We start from the raw sequence: 14,560 nt of genomic DNA, 5'->3' as shown, positions 1-14,560 counted from the left end.
TCCCGCCTCAGTCTCCTGAGTAGCTAGGATTACAAGCTAAAGCCACCACACCTAGCTAATTTTGGTATTTTTAGCAGATGGTTTTAACCATGTTGGCCAGGCTGGTCTCAAACTCCTGACCTCAAAAGTGATCCACCAGTCTTGGTCTACTCAAAGTGCTGGGATTAAGGCATGAACCACCACGCCTGGCCAGGCTTCTTTATAAAAATAATCTTATCTCAGAGTCAAGGTCTCACTGTGTTGCCAAGGCTGGTCTTGAACTCCTGTGCCCAAGTAAGCCTCCTGCCTTGGCCTCCCAAAGTGCTGGGATTACAGGTGTGAGCCAACACACCCAGCCTGTTTCTAGAACCCTGTATTCTGGCTTTCTATTCCTCTGTAAACTTTTCAGACTCTTTTGCTGTATCTTTTTGTGGTTCAAGCTTTAGCATGTTTCAGAGTCACCTGGAAGGCTTGTTAAAACATAACATGCTGTGTTGCCCTACCCTGATTTTTAAGTTTTTTTTTTTGAGACAGAGTCCCACTCTGTCACCTAGGCTGGAGTGCAGTGGTGCAACGTCGGCTCACTGCAGCCTCTGCCTCCCAGGTTCACTCCTGCCTTGGTCTCCTGAGTAGTTGGGATTATAGGTATATGCCACAAAGCCCAGCTAGCTTTTGTATTTTTTAGTAGAGATGTGGTTTTGCCATGTTGGCCGGGCTGGTCTCGAACTCCTGACCTCAGGTGATCCGCCTGCCTTGGCCTCCCGAAGTGTTGGGATTATAGGCATAAGCCCCGTGCTCAGCCCCTAGATTGTTGAATAAGTTTTTTTAAAAAAATTATTTTTTTGAGTCTCACTCAGGCTGGAGTACAGTGGCATGATCTCGGCTCACTGCAACCTCTGCCTTTCGGGTTCAAGCAATTCTCCTGCCTCAGCCTCCTGAGTAGCTGGCGGGCATGCCCGCCACCATGCCAATTTTTGTATTTTTAGTAGAGACAGGGTTTCGCCATGTTGGCCAGGCTGTTCTCGAACTCCTGACCTCAGGTGATCCATCTGCCTCAGCCTCCCAAAATGTTGGGATTAGAGGCATGAGCCACCACGCCCAGCCTGAATAAGCTTTTTCAATAAAGAAACCGGTAGTTCGCTATGATCCACATGATGAAGTATGGCATCCTTAGCAAGCTACATGAACCGGCGGACTCCAAGGCCTGCCTGGCCTAATCCACCTACTTCAGCACTGGTAGCCTCCCAGGGCCAGAGTAGCCCTTGTGGCCTGAACCAGACCTAGACCCCTGGGTTTCTTCGGCTCACTCTAGCTCATGTGTAAGATGGCCACGTCCAAGCTGGGCTACCTTTTCTGGCTAATCCCAGGCTACTTTGAAATCCAGCTGAGATCTATGGTCTGCAGAAGAGATGGAGTAGGAGACTGAGCCAAGGCCCCAGAGTGTAGACCAGGAAGTGGCAGGGGCACACTCTCCAATGCTGGCAACAAAGATGGTGCCCTCTGAGAAGAGGCACAGTATAGACCACAGAGCTCCCTGCGTTGCGTAGCTGAAGCTAAGCATGGTTTACAAGACAAGGTGGCAGGTTGGGCCGGGTGCAGTAGCTCACACCTGTAATCCCAGCACTTTGGGAAGCCAAGGCAGGAGGATTGTTTGCATCCGGGAGTTTGAAACCAGTCTGGGCAAAGTGAGACCCCGTCTCTACAAGAAAAGCAAATTAGCCAGTTGTGGCACACACCTGTCATACCAGCTCCTTGGGAGTGTGAGGTAGGAGGACTGCTTGAGTCCAGGAAGCTGAGTCTAGTCTACAGTGAGCTGTGATCACACTACTGCACTCCAGCCTGGGTGACAGAGCTAGACCTTGACTCAAAGGGGAAAAACAAAACAAAACCCAAAGAAAGCATGCTGGCATGTCCGTCCAGAAGCAGAGCTAGCTCTCAATGAGAGATTTAGAGGTACGCCAAGTCCTGAGCCAGTTCAGGGAAGTCAAAAGATGTGCAAGGCTGTTTTGCTGGAGTTGGGCATGTGTACCTCCTAACCAGCCCTCCATCTATAGAATAGAGTATGCTACCTGCCTCCCAGGAGAGGAGGGCTGAAGATGGGTGGTGGATGGCGTGGTGGCTGGGATGCAGGTGCTACCGTGGCTGCCGCTCTAGAGGTTTTGGCCTCAGATTTCTGGAAATTTAACATAGTGGATCATTGGTTTAGAGTGAAGATGGATTCTCCTGAGAGGAGTCACTGGGAGATGTGATCTACTCTGTGTAAGGCAATAGCTACTGTTTCAGTGGATATGTCTCTCTTCTCTTCTAGCCTGCAGGGAAGGCACAGCTACCCCCATTTTACAAGTGGAGAAAGTGGCTTAGAGGTGCAATAACTCACCCATGTGTACAGATTTAGCCTATGGGGAAGGTGGCAGCCAGAGAATCCTGGAAACACAAGTACAGCCACAACAGCCTCTCATCTGCAGCTCTAGGTCTCCAGCAGGCTTCTGCTGGGGACCTTGCTGGGAGGAGGTGTGGGCACAACTTGCCTGGCACGTCGAGAGCAGGCAAAGCTGGAGCTGGCACAAGAACACTCACTTTGGGGCCAGTAGACTCTCGCCTTCTTCGACTCTTCCTTGGAGGTATGGAGGACTAGCCGATATTTCTTTAAGATACAGCTGGGGCCTTGGACATTCAGAGTCATCTGGGACAGATTCGTTATTTCTGGGCAAAAGACAAAGCAAAGGTTAAGGAATGTCTGGAGGCCAGCACTCTGGGGGTGGAGGGAAGAGCAGTAGAGAGGGGCCGGGAGTTTGAACAGAGCACCAAGGACCCCCTGCCTTTTGCTAGGGCCCAGGCCCGAAGAATTACCATTTCACTGCTTGTTCTAGGTGGCTACAGGCAAGCTGCAAACCTCAGGGCCTCCTTTTGAGGGAGGATGGGATTTATCCCATGGTCCCCCACAAACAGAACAGGGCCTACCTCGATCAGTTCAGTGAAGGTTCACCTTGTTTCCAGTCTTGTTTCCAGTCTCAGTAGGAAACAAGACATTCCATTCTACTGCTAAGACCCAGAACCCTGGTCCCAACCGCAAGTCAGGATCCAAGGCGAATTTTACCCAAGACAGTCCAAGGTTCCTGGCCCAGACTATGAGAGGCTTTTTAGAAAGCAGCGCATATACCCCTATTGTCTTCATTTAGTCTTGTCAACCAACTGATATAGTTGGGAGGCCAACTGCATCATCCCCATTTTACAAATAGGGAAACAAGATCAGGGAAGTTAGTGTGCTCAAGTTCACAGCTAGGAAACAAGTAACCACCCATGCTCTTTGCATGGGGCTATGTGACTTCTCTTACCCAATTATACATCTACAACTCAGGACAAAAGGTTTGATCAGCCCAGGCATGGGGACTGGGGAAGAGGGTGTCGGGGGTGGGGTGGAGAAAATTAGTCTGGAATCCATTTGCTGAGAAGCAGGGCAGCAAAGAGACCAAGAAGGAAAGGCAGAGACAGTCTGAGGTCCTACCCTCTGAAAAGATCACTTTCTTGGTTTTCTTGTCCTCAAGTTGCTGGCCCACATCAGCAGGGTTGCAATTCACAAGCAGGATGGCACCCCAACCGCTGGGACCCCAGATCCATTTTTTCTGCAAATGAGATGGGAACATTGGCTCAGGAAGGAGCCAAATAAATCTTCTGTTTCTCGGATGCACCTCATAGCAGAGGGGCCCAGCCAAGCCTTTCTCCAGGGTACAGGGACCCATGGAACAGGACTGGTGAGGTCAAGAATCTGTAGGCACAGGAAGGTCATGTCAGGTAAGGAGGCTAAGAGGAAGGGAAAGAAGCTAGGTTCGGGGTTACCAGTTACTTACCTCATATTTCAGAGTCAGAGAATCAGGGACCGAGGCAAATTGGAAAAGAGACGTGCCACCTGGCAGCAGCGGCTAATCCTCTCATCTAGGAGACTCCACAACCAGGGTAGGACATGAGCCTAGAGTTGCCAGACATTCTGGTTTTTTTTTTAGTGAGCTAGAAATTTAATCAGTTCTGATCCCAGTACTTCGGGAGGCCGAGGCAGGTGGACCACTGGAGATCAGGATTTCGAGACCATCCTGGCTAACACAGTGAAACCTCGTCTCTACTAAAAATACAAAAAAAACTAGCCAGGCATGGTGGCAGGCACCTAGAGTCCCAGCTACTCGGCAGGCTGAGGCAGGAGAATGGCGTGAACCTGGGAGATGGAGCTTGCAGTGAGCTGAGATCGTGCCACTGCACTCCAGCCTGGGCAACAGAGCGAGACTCCGTCTCAAAAAAAAATTAGCCAGGTGTGGTGGCACACGCTTGTAACCCCAGCTGCTCAGGAGGCTGAGGCAGGAGAATTACTTGAACCTGGGAGGTGGAGATTACAGTGAGCTAAGATCATGCCACTGCACTCCAGCCTGGGTAACAGAGGGAAACTCCATCAAAAACAACATCAAAAACAAACAAACAAAAAAAAACAAAAAAATACCCCACAAAAGAAAAGGAATTTAATCAGCTCTGACTTGTACCGTGACAGTTTGGTTTACCCCTCCCCTCCACGTATCTAATCCTTCAGCAATGTCACAGCAATTGGGCTAGACACGAGGAAGGTCAGATCAAGTGAGCCTGTGGGCAGATTTGGCTTATAGGGCCCCTTCCCTGCCCCCTTTTGCTGGCAGACTCACCTTAGCCTGTTTGTCACTTGACATCTCAACTTGCCCATTGCGGTAGATGTCTACCTCTAGAGAGACCTCTGAAACAGAAGAAAAGGGTGTCCCAGCCACCTTGACCTGCCAGATGGAACCTCAAAGTTATAGGTTATCTCCTGTGGGGCTGCCCAAGGCTGGCATCAGGGCATCTAGCCTTTCTGGCATGCTATCAGCTTAGAAGCAGAAACCATTCTCAAAGGTGACAGCTTCATATCAGCAAGCCTGGAGAGGCCCAAGTAGTCAAATGTCTACCCCAAACCTCCCAGGAACTCACAAAACAAGCCCATCATGGTCCTCTCATGCCATCTCATGCCTTTCAGCCTCTACCCAAGTGATTCTTACTTGCAAAGTCTACCTCTCTAGTCTTCTGGAAAGCTTTATGCTCCAAGACATAGGAAAGGCTTAATATGGCCGGGCACAGTGGCTCACTCCTATAATCCCAACACTGGGAGACTGAGGTGGATGGATCACTTAAGGTCAGGAGTTGGAGACTAGCCTGGGCAACATGGTGAAATCGCATCTCTACTAAAGATACAAAAATTAACTGGGCGGCCGGGCGCGATGGCTCACGCCTGTAATCCCAGCACTTTGGGAGGCCGAGGCGGGCGGATCACGAGGTCAGGAGATCGAGACCATCCTGGCTAACACGGTGAAACCCCGTCTCTACTAAAAATACAAAAAAATTAGCCGGGCGAGGTGGCGGGCGCCTGTAGTCCCAGCTTCTCGGGAGGCTGAGGCAGGAGAATGGCGTGAACCCCAGGGGGCGGAGCCTGCAGTGAGCCGAGATTGCGCCACTGCACTCCAGCCTGGGCGACAGCGAGACTCCGTCTTAAAAAAAAAAAAAAAAAAAAATTAACTGGGCATGGTGGAGGGTACCTGTAGTCCCAGCCTCTTGGGAAGCCAAGGCAGGAGTGTCACTTGAGCTGGGAAGGTGGAGGTTGCAGTGAGCTGAGATCAGACCACTGCACTCTAGCCTGGGTGACAGAGCAAGATTCTGTCCCCCCCCCCAAAAAAAATTCAATACATGACAATTCTAAGCCCCTTTAAAACTTAAGGATTAGCTGGGCATGGTGGCTCATGCCTGTAACCCCAGCACTTTGGGAGGCTGAGGCAGGCAGATCACCTGAGGTCAGGAGTTCAAGACCAGACTGAGCAACATGGCAAAACCTTGTCTCTATGAAAAATACAAAAATTAGCCCGGTGTGGTGGCAGGTGCTTGTAGTTCCAGCTACTCAGGAGGCTAAGGCAGGAGAATCACTTGAACCCAGGAGGTGGAGATTGCAGTGAGCAGAGATCGCACCACTCCACTCCAGCCTGGGTGACAGAGTAATGCTCCATCTCAAAAAACAAAAACAAACAAAAAAACACACTTAAGGATCTAGGCTTTTGCCCAGGTACTGTCATAGGGACTGTCCCGCCTCCTTAGCATACCACCTCCCATCCCTTCCACCACACAAGGGACAACCACGTCGCTCCAGTGTGGTCTTTTGTTCACAGCTCATTATTTGACATGCTGATTCCCAACTGGAATATCAGGGCCACGAACGCAGGACTTGTTTGCTGTTACATCATCAGCACCTGACCAGCAGATGCTCAGGGACCAGATGCCCACTGCGAACTGGGCTGCCCCAGGTCCTAGGGATCTAGCAGCGTGCAAGACGGAGACCTCATCTCCTTAGAGCTTACATGAGCACATATGTGTACACCAGGGGTGGGGCAAGCAGGTACATCATGTTTGATAGCAATAAGCACTGAGGGATATGGGAGAAGGAATGGAGCGAGGGTATTTCAGTTTTAGATGATCAAGGGAGCCCAAGTTTACATTTGAAAAGAGACCTAAAGGAGGCAAGAAAATCTGGGTTAACATCTAGGGTAAGAGCCATTAGGGGAAATAGGAAGCCCAAGGCAGCAAGGCCAAGGGTTAGAGTGGCCAACAGGACCCACAGCAGAAGCAGCAGGATGACCCAGGGGGAAGATTCACAAGCGGTAAAGACAGAGGCAGTGCAGGGTTACTCGTGTAGTTTCGTGGGCAGCGACTTTGGCTTTAATCCAAGCAACGTGGAAGCAGTTGGAAGGCGTTATTCCAATATTCCACTTAAAGATGTACCACTCTGGCTGCTGGATCAAGGCTAGAGGTCTTAGTCAGAAGGGCAAGAGTGCCAGCATGAACCCCACTGGGAGGTCTGGGCTGTGACCCAGGTGAGAGGATGGGGGCTCGAGCCGGAGTGAACACACTGGGAGTGCGAGTTGCTGGATTCTGGCGAAACGTCAGGTAACACAAGATTCAGACTGCTGTGGGGTAAGAAGAATCAGGTGATGCCAAGGTTTACACTAGAAGGATGGAGCTACCGCCTACTGTGATGGAGGGACTACTAGAAAAACAGGTTTTCAGGAGTAGAGAGAATCCATTTGCATTTCAGACATCTGTCAGACACCGAAGCGATCATGCTGGGTAGGCAATATCCAAGTCGGGTTTGTGGGAGCAGCCTGCCCATAGGTGACATTAGAGTCACGTGACCTGCCTCCTGAGCCTGAGACACTTCACTGACTGGAAGCAGCGGGACAAAGGACTGAGAAGAGCTCCTCTGAGCTCCAAAGGGTTCTGAGAAGGAACAGGCAGGAGGAAAAATAAGTTGAACATCCCTGAAGCGTTCAAGTGTGTTAAGAGGGGATTGACCAGCAGGTACGTGGCTCATGCCTGTAACTCCAGCACTTTGGGAGGCTGAGGCGGGAGGATCACTTGAGGCCAGGAGTTTGAGACCAGGCTGGGCAATATGGTAAAACCCTCTCTATGGGGGAAAAAATAAAATAAAAAAATAAAGTCAGCTGGGCATGGTGGTGCGTGCCTGTAGTCCCAGCCACTCTGGAGATTGAGGTGGGAGGAGCCTGGGCAACATAGGGATACCTATGTCTGTATAAAAAATTAACCAAGTATGGTGGTATAACACCTATGGTCCAAGCTACTGGAGAGGCTGAGGTGAGAGGATCGTTTGAGGCTGCAATGAGCCATGATCGTGTCTCTTCACTCCAGTTCAGCTTAGGCTACAGAGTGAGACTGTCTCAAAAACAAAAAACAAGACAAAACAAAACAAAACAAAAACACAAAAGAACCCACACAAACCAAAAACTTAGTGTTGTAGATGTTAGAGTTCTAAAAGAACTCCGTTGGTGGTAGGTGTCTAATTTGAGAAGATTCTAGAGAAATTGAGGACACAGATGGCTCCTCAGGAAGAGAGGTGGGAGAATAGACTTTAAAAGACAACCTAGGCCCAGCACAGTGGCTCACGCCTGTAATCCCAACACTCTGGGAGGCTGAGGTGGGCGGATCACGAGGTCAGGAGATTGAGACCAGCCTGGCCAACACAGTGAAATCCCGTCTCCACTAAAAATACAAAAAAATTAGCCCACTAAAAATACAAAAAAAATAGCCCACTAAAAATAAAAAAAATTAGCCCACTAAAAATAAAAAAAATTAGCCCACTAAAAATAAAAAAAAATTAGCCGGGCATGGTGGCGGGTACCTATAGTCCCAGCTACTCGGGAGGCTGAGGCAGGAGAATGGTGTGAACCTGGGAGGTGGAATGGGCAGTGAGCCAAGATCGCGCCACTGCACTCCAGCCTGGGCAACAGAGCAAGACTCCATCTCAAACAAAAACAAACACCCTAGAATCAGGTTTAAGAGAGATGATATGGCCAGGCACAGTGGCTCACGCTTGTAATCCCAGCACTTGGGGAGGCCGAGGCAGGTGGATCGCGAGGTCAGGAGTTCGAGACCAGCCTGGCCAACATGGTGAAAACCTGTCTCTACTAAAAATATAAAAATTAGCCAGGCATGGTGGCACACACCTATAGTCCCAGCTAATCTGGAGGCTGAGGTAGGAGAATCACTTGAACCTGGGAGGCAGAGGTTACAGTGAGCCGAGATCATGCCACTGTACTCCAGCCTGAGTGACAGTAAGACTCATCTCAGAAAAAAAAGAAAAAAAAAGTAGATGTTATAGAGCTTGTTCCTGAGCTGATGGGGGTGATCTAGAGGGCGGGGAAGGGTGGCGGCTTCTTACATTGGTAAGAATTGACAAAGGAATGTTCTTGAATAAGAAAGGATCTAGTGAGACAAGAAAGACTAACTTTGGACCAGATGCGTCAATTAGTAACAAAGGAAGAAGGTAGGCACTAGACAGGCGTAGGTGGGTAGATGGCAGCGACACGGAAGTTCTGGCTGTTTCTATTCTCAGAATTAGGTTGGCAGTGCACGAAGATGGAGAAGTGACTGAGCGTCGAGGAGGGAGTGTGTGAGTGGGTATCTCAAATGAATCCATTTAGGAGTTTGTTCAGGAGTTCCTGGGGCCCACAGGAGGCATCTTGTTACCTGGAGAATCTTTTTTGGCTCCTCCTACAATCCCACCCCTTCCCCAACCCCAGCGGTGAGTTGGGCCCCAGGCTCCCAGTTGGAGCAACACTCACCAATGCCAGTGAGGTACAGCACAGCTGTGCCCACGGGGGCATCCTCGTTGGGCCCATAGTATGTGACCGAGACCTGTGGAGACAGCATCCCGAAACCATAGGCAGTGTTGGACGGGAGGTGCCAGGAACAGAGCCCCAGGCCATGTGCCGAGTCTAGGCGTGGGATCTTGGTCTTGTGTTATGGCTTCTGAAGTCTCACCTATGAGCTGGTATGGGGCCACAGCCCTGCGCTTAGGGCTGAGTCAGTCCCCTAAGGACTTAGAACCTGCCATGACCCCCAACCCTAACCTTGTCGAGAGCCAGGCTTGAAACCACCTGTCCACGTGAGAGCTGTATCCCTGATGGCGGGGTGATCAAGGGACTTATCCCAAAGGGATTTAAGAAACAGGCTGCCTGGCTCTAGAGCCCAAGCTTGAAACCACACTATACATCCTCCCTGCTAAACCCACTCTCCTGGGGTCCCATGTCCTACTCCATAAGGTGCACGGTGGGGAAACAGGCCTCTGGTGGCTTAAGCTGCTCACTAAGAAGGACACCCAGGTGAAGAAGCAGCGTTGGGACTCAGTCCCAACTGTGGGACTGTGTCCCACACCAGCCTCTACTTTATGCTTTTAGAAAGAGACCTGCCCTCCAGCCACTGACCCTGACCACAAGGTCTTGGTCATGAACCAGAGACCCAACCATTGGCCAGAGCATGTGACAGATCCACCCCATCCTTAAATAGAAGCTTTAGTCCTCTAAGTTCAAGGTTCTTTGTTGGCCACTCCTGAGGGTCCTGGAGGCCGAGCCCTGGGCAGAGAATGGTTCTCAGGTAGTCTGGAGTTCCACTGGCACCCACCGTGGCCTCCATTCTTATCTGAGATACCTTTTTTTGCGATGGAGTTTTGTTCTTGTTGCCCAGGCTGTAATGCAGTGGGACAATCTCAGCTTACTACAACCTCCACCTCCTGGGTTCAAGCGATTCTCCAGCCTCAGCCTCCTGAGAACCTGAGATTACAGGCACCTGCCACCACACCTGGCTAATTTTTGTATTTTTAGTAGAGACAGCGTTTCACCATGTTGGCCAGGCTGGTCTCAAACTCCCGACCTCAGGTGATCTGCCCATCTCAGCCTTCCAAAGTGCTGGGATTACAGGCATGAGCCACCACACCTGGCCAGAGACACTCAGTTCCTACCTAAGTCCACTACTTGCCTCTCAGGGAGTTGCCTGCCCTGGGCACACAGCGCAGGTGGGTGTGTGTACCTACCCCTCTGCAGCAGACATCTCCAGTAGGTCCTGTAGGGTGTGGGGGGAGGGAGGGAGAGCTCTCCCAGTCCTGAACTGCTCCATCATGGTTCTCACCCCCAGCCCCGCACTGGGTGCACCTGGAGAGCTTTAAACCAGCGGCCAGGATCCTAGCCCTGAGGTTCCATTGGTACCTCAGGTTTAATTGGTAGAGGGGGTGTGGCCTGGGTATTGATGTTATTAGCTCCCCAGTGGTTCTCACCTGCAACCAAGGTTGAACACTCCTGCCCTGAATGAGCCACCTGCTTCTACCACAGGAGAACCTCCCCAACATAGGCACCCCATTAGGGAGACAGCTTACCCAGGGGAGAATACACCCTTGGGCTCAAGCTCAAATCCTGGGTCTATCCCACTCTAGGTAGGCTACTTAGGTTTAGACACAGCACTCTGTGCCTTAGTTTCCTCATATGTAAAGTGATGGTAGGCCAGGTGTGGTGGCTCATGCCTGTAATCCCAGCACTTTGGGAGGTGGAGGCAGGTAGATCACTTGAAGTCAGGAGTTTGAGACCAGCCTGGCCAACATAGTGAAACCCTGTCTCATACTAAAAATACAAAATTAGCCGGGCATGGTGGTGGGTGCCTGTAGTCCCAGCTACTCGGGAAGCTGAGGCAGGAGAATTGCTTGAACCCGGGAAGTGGAGGTTGCAGTGAGCTGAGATTGTGCCATTGCACCCCAGTCTGGGCAATGAGCGTGAGACTCAAAAAAAAAAATAATAATAAATAAATGAAAATAAAAAATAAATCCCAGTCCTGCTGGTTGCTGACTTGGCAGGGCACCTTCGCTAGGTGCCTCTGTTTCTTTGTAAAATGGGGTCATGGAGTGCCCACACCACTGGTCTGTTGCAGACACTGGATGAGATCAGACGTGCAAAACAACGTGTTTCCCAGGCTCGAGTCACGTCTGCAGCCAGGAGGAAGCCCCAGTGGCTGTGCTAGGTCCCACCCCGGGAGATGCCCCTCACCTCTTCCCCTGAGGCTTACCTTATCCGCATCCACGGAAGGGCTGGGCGATGTCATCTTCACTGTGGCGTACGTGGGATCAGACAGGGGCCACCAGATGGTGGCGTCCTCCTTCTCAGAAATCACCGTGTTGGCCACATCGATCAAGACCCTCCCAGAGCCATGGATGGTGAAGCACTGGCACTTCTGGGGGGCACACCTGGTTTGCCCGGTAAGAGACACGCGTCAGGGCACAAACACCTTCTCAGCCTAGGAGATGACTGGCATGGGGGAGGGGACGGCTCCCGAATCCTCATTCTCCTTAGGGTGTTGAGGCAGAGTGGTCTGGGGTCCTTATTCCTACCCACCCCCTCCCAAAGGACCCCTGTGTTTGCTCTCCGACGGGCTCCAGCCCAAACCCCATCCCGCTACCGACACTGCAGAAGTTACCACAGCTACATCTTAGTAATAAGCACCCAATTCCCAAGAAGGGGGGAGCCACAAAGGATCCCCATAAAGAAAAAGATCAGGGCAAGCGACTCAGGAAGTTGTACTGTGACCCTGCTGAGTCACCTCCACCTGCAGGCTCCAGCATCTAGCAGTCTCCCTGGCCTGCTCCTCACAGCCCCCCGAGGCCAGCGTCCCCATGGTTTCACAGATAGGGGAACAGAGAGGCCAAGGCCCTTGCCTCACTAAGAGTCCATGGCAGCTGCTACAGGGCAGAGGCAGGATTTAAGTCAGAATTCTGCGTGGTTGGAACTGGGAGGCCCCCCACTAGAGACCCAAGGCTTCCCAAGATGGGGCAGGATAGTGAGGCTAGAGAAGTAACCCCCAACTCCCAGATCAAGGGGACTGGGTCCCAGGCCTGCCTGCCTGTCTGCCTGCCACCTCTGGCAGAGCTCCCAGCATCTCACCCGCTGAGATCCAAGCAGATTTCTGTGCCCAACACACAAACGGCATGGACAGGGCTGTCCAGGGACAGGTGGATGATACTCTGGAAGGACATGGCTCGGCCCTCCACGCTGACCATCCTCAGGCCTGCACCGCAGCCCTCACTCAGCACAGCAGCCTCAGACGCCCCAGGGCTCACCCTGCCCTTCCCTGTTATACAGTCCAGGCCTGTGCAGGCCACCCCCTTGTTAAGAAGGGGAGGGGTCAGCAGCTGCCCAGGTGTCACTGATTTTCCCTCTAAGAGCTTCCTGGTGGCTGATAGTCTGGGGAGCAGGTGGCATCAGAACCCCTTCATCACCAATTTATCAGGCACCTCGTGCCTGCAGAGCTGCAGGCCAGGGGAGTCTGAGGCCGGTTGCTTAGGCATCTGTGGCCTTCAGCTGGGAAGAGGAGGGGCTCTGGGAAGTCGGTGCCTTGGAGTGATCAACTTGGCCATGTTGCTGGAGGACTCAGCTGGAAGCTGTCGGGGCAAATACCTGCAGAGGGCAGTTGGGAGGAGTTGATGGTAGCAGTCAGGATGGCAATGTGTGGCAGCATGCCCAGGCTCTGGGGTCTCAGTTCTAGGGTGTGTGTCTCCTGGAAATTGACGAAGGAGCTCGGCAAAGTGCTGGACTGGTGGTTTGGTTTTGTTTTTGAGACAGGGTCTCTACCCATGCTAGAGTGCAGTGGCGCAATCATAGCTCACTGCAGCCTCAACCTACCTGGCTCCAGTGATCCATCTCAGCCTCCCAAGTAGCTGGGACTACAGGTGTGCACCACCATGTCCAGCTGATTTTTGTATTTTTTGTAGAGACCGGGTTTTGCCATGTTGCCCAGGCTAGTCTCGAACTTCTTGATCCCAGAAATCCTCCTATCTCGACCTGCCAAAGTGCTGGGATTACAGGCGTGAGCCACAGCGCCTGCCTAGACTAGGTGGTTATTAACCCTCTGGTGGTTTCAAAAATTATCAAGGGTGCTTGTTAACATTGCAAATTCCTGGGCCCAGAAGGTCTAGGGTGTGGTCCAGGAACCTGCATCCCAACCCCCAGTGATTAAGGTGAGCTCTTTGCTTACAGCTGTGTCGGTGGGGGTGGGGGCACAGCAAGTGTTAGTGGAATGAATACATCAAGCCAGGGTCATCAGCTGCTACTCATCTCAGCGGAGCCCACAGAGCAAAGAAATAGGAACCCTTCTCTGGCACAAGGAACTTACATAACTGACTTTAAAATTGTGTTCATTTCATGTCTTAAGCTTGGGTTGAGTTTTTTTTTGTTGTTGTTTTTGAGACAGGGTCTCACTCCGTTACCCAGGCTGGAGTGAAGTGGCGTGATCATGGTTCACAGCCTTGACCTCCCAGGCTCAAGTGGTCTTCCCACCTCAGCCTCCTGAGCAGCTGGGACTACAGATGTGCACCACCATGCCCAGCTAATGGTTTTACATTTTTCCGCAGAGATGGGGTCTTGTTATGTTGCCCAGGCTGGGTCATGCTTACTCCTGAATAGGTACCACAGTCACATGATTCCAAGTTCAGAGTCTCCCTCCTGCCCTGTGCCTTACCCACCTGCAGGTGGAGGTAGTGACAGTGTTACCCGTTTCTTATATGTCTTTCCAAATAAATGTTATGCATGACCAAGTAAATATGTGTGTGTATCCTTTTCTTCTTCTCTTCCTCCTCCAATACTAGCATACAGTTAGATAAATTTGAAGGGGCTTTATGGTGAGAAAGGGAAGGACGTGGAGTCTATTTTAAGGTTAAGGGAAAAAGGCTTCTGCAGGTTCCTTCGAGGTTACATCTCGAGACTAAAGAGAAAAGTTGTAAAATGTGCTCAAAGTTAAGCTGCTTGGTTACAATTACAAACTTTTCAGTTCAGTGGAGATGCCCCTGGAAGCCCATTGGGTTATCTTTTTTGAGGAAGGACAAGGAGGTCATTTAGTCATTTGCTCCACTAGAATTGCTGAACACCTACTATGTCCGGGGCGCTTTTGCTCTTTTCTTCTCTCCTCCTACTACTGTCTTCTTATATAAACGGTAGTATGTGCCACCCAGTATTCCATACCTTGCCTCTTTCACTTCATAGTTATACTGGAGAGAAGTTCTTTGTATCAGTACGTAAAAAGCAGCCTTACCCCTTTGTACAGCTGTGTATTTTACATAGGGTTGTACTGTAATATAAACATTTGTTTTCAGCCTTTGCTCTAATATGCACCCAGGTGTACCCAGCATAGGAGGTGGAGATGAGGTACTGAGTGAAGCCTG

General features: G+C 51.1%; 1 protein-coding gene across 1 annotated transcript in view, besides 2 other annotated features; it reads right to left on the bottom strand.

The window, feature by feature from the left end:
• PADI6 (peptidyl arginine deiminase 6) overlaps window positions 1–12,453 on the bottom strand; it is a 29,504-nt gene extending 17,051 nt beyond the window's left edge. Inside the window, exons 1-6 of the mRNA NM_207421.4 lie at window positions 12,288–12,453; window positions 11,416–11,593; window positions 9,150–9,222; window positions 4,662–4,729; window positions 3,485–3,602; window positions 2,557–2,682 (exon numbers count right to left, since the gene is read on the bottom strand). Coding sequence (NP_997304.3) covers window positions 2,557–2,682; window positions 3,485–3,602; window positions 4,662–4,729; window positions 9,150–9,222; window positions 11,416–11,593; window positions 12,288–12,403 — 679 coding nt within the window. The 5' untranslated portion in view covers window positions 12,404–12,453. The remainder of the gene's footprint in view (window positions 1–2,556; window positions 2,683–3,484; window positions 3,603–4,661; window positions 4,730–9,149; window positions 9,223–11,415; window positions 11,594–12,287) is intronic.
• Window positions 2,184–3,383: an enhancer, noted in NCBI's record as "CDK7 strongly-dependent group 2 enhancer chr1:17707761-17708960 (GRCh37/hg19 assembly coordinates)". NCBI's record gives its function as "activates an origin of replication core promoter dependent on BRD2, BRD4, P300/CBP, MED14 and CDK7 cofactors, with strong dependence on CDK7, by STARR-seq in HCT116 cells {active_cell/tissue: HCT116}" and the evidence as "EXISTENCE:reporter gene assay evidence [ECO:0000049][PMID:35650434]".
• Window positions 6,958–7,459: an enhancer, noted in NCBI's record as "H3K4me1 hESC enhancer chr1:17703685-17704186 (GRCh37/hg19 assembly coordinates)". NCBI's record gives its function as "activates a minimal SCP1, AML or CMV promoter by ChIP-STARR-seq in primed H9 embryonic stem cells {active_cell/tissue: H9 hESC(primed)}" and the evidence as "EXISTENCE:reporter gene assay evidence [ECO:0000049][PMID:30033119]".

The sequence above is a fragment of the Homo sapiens genome, chromosome 1 (genome assembly GCF_000001405.40).
Source record: "Homo sapiens chromosome 1, GRCh38.p14 Primary Assembly".
NCBI lineage: Eukaryota > Metazoa > Chordata > Mammalia > Primates > Hominidae > Homo > Homo sapiens.
Note: the sequence above shows the minus strand (reverse complement) of the source record. Positions and strands in the feature narration are given on the sequence as shown.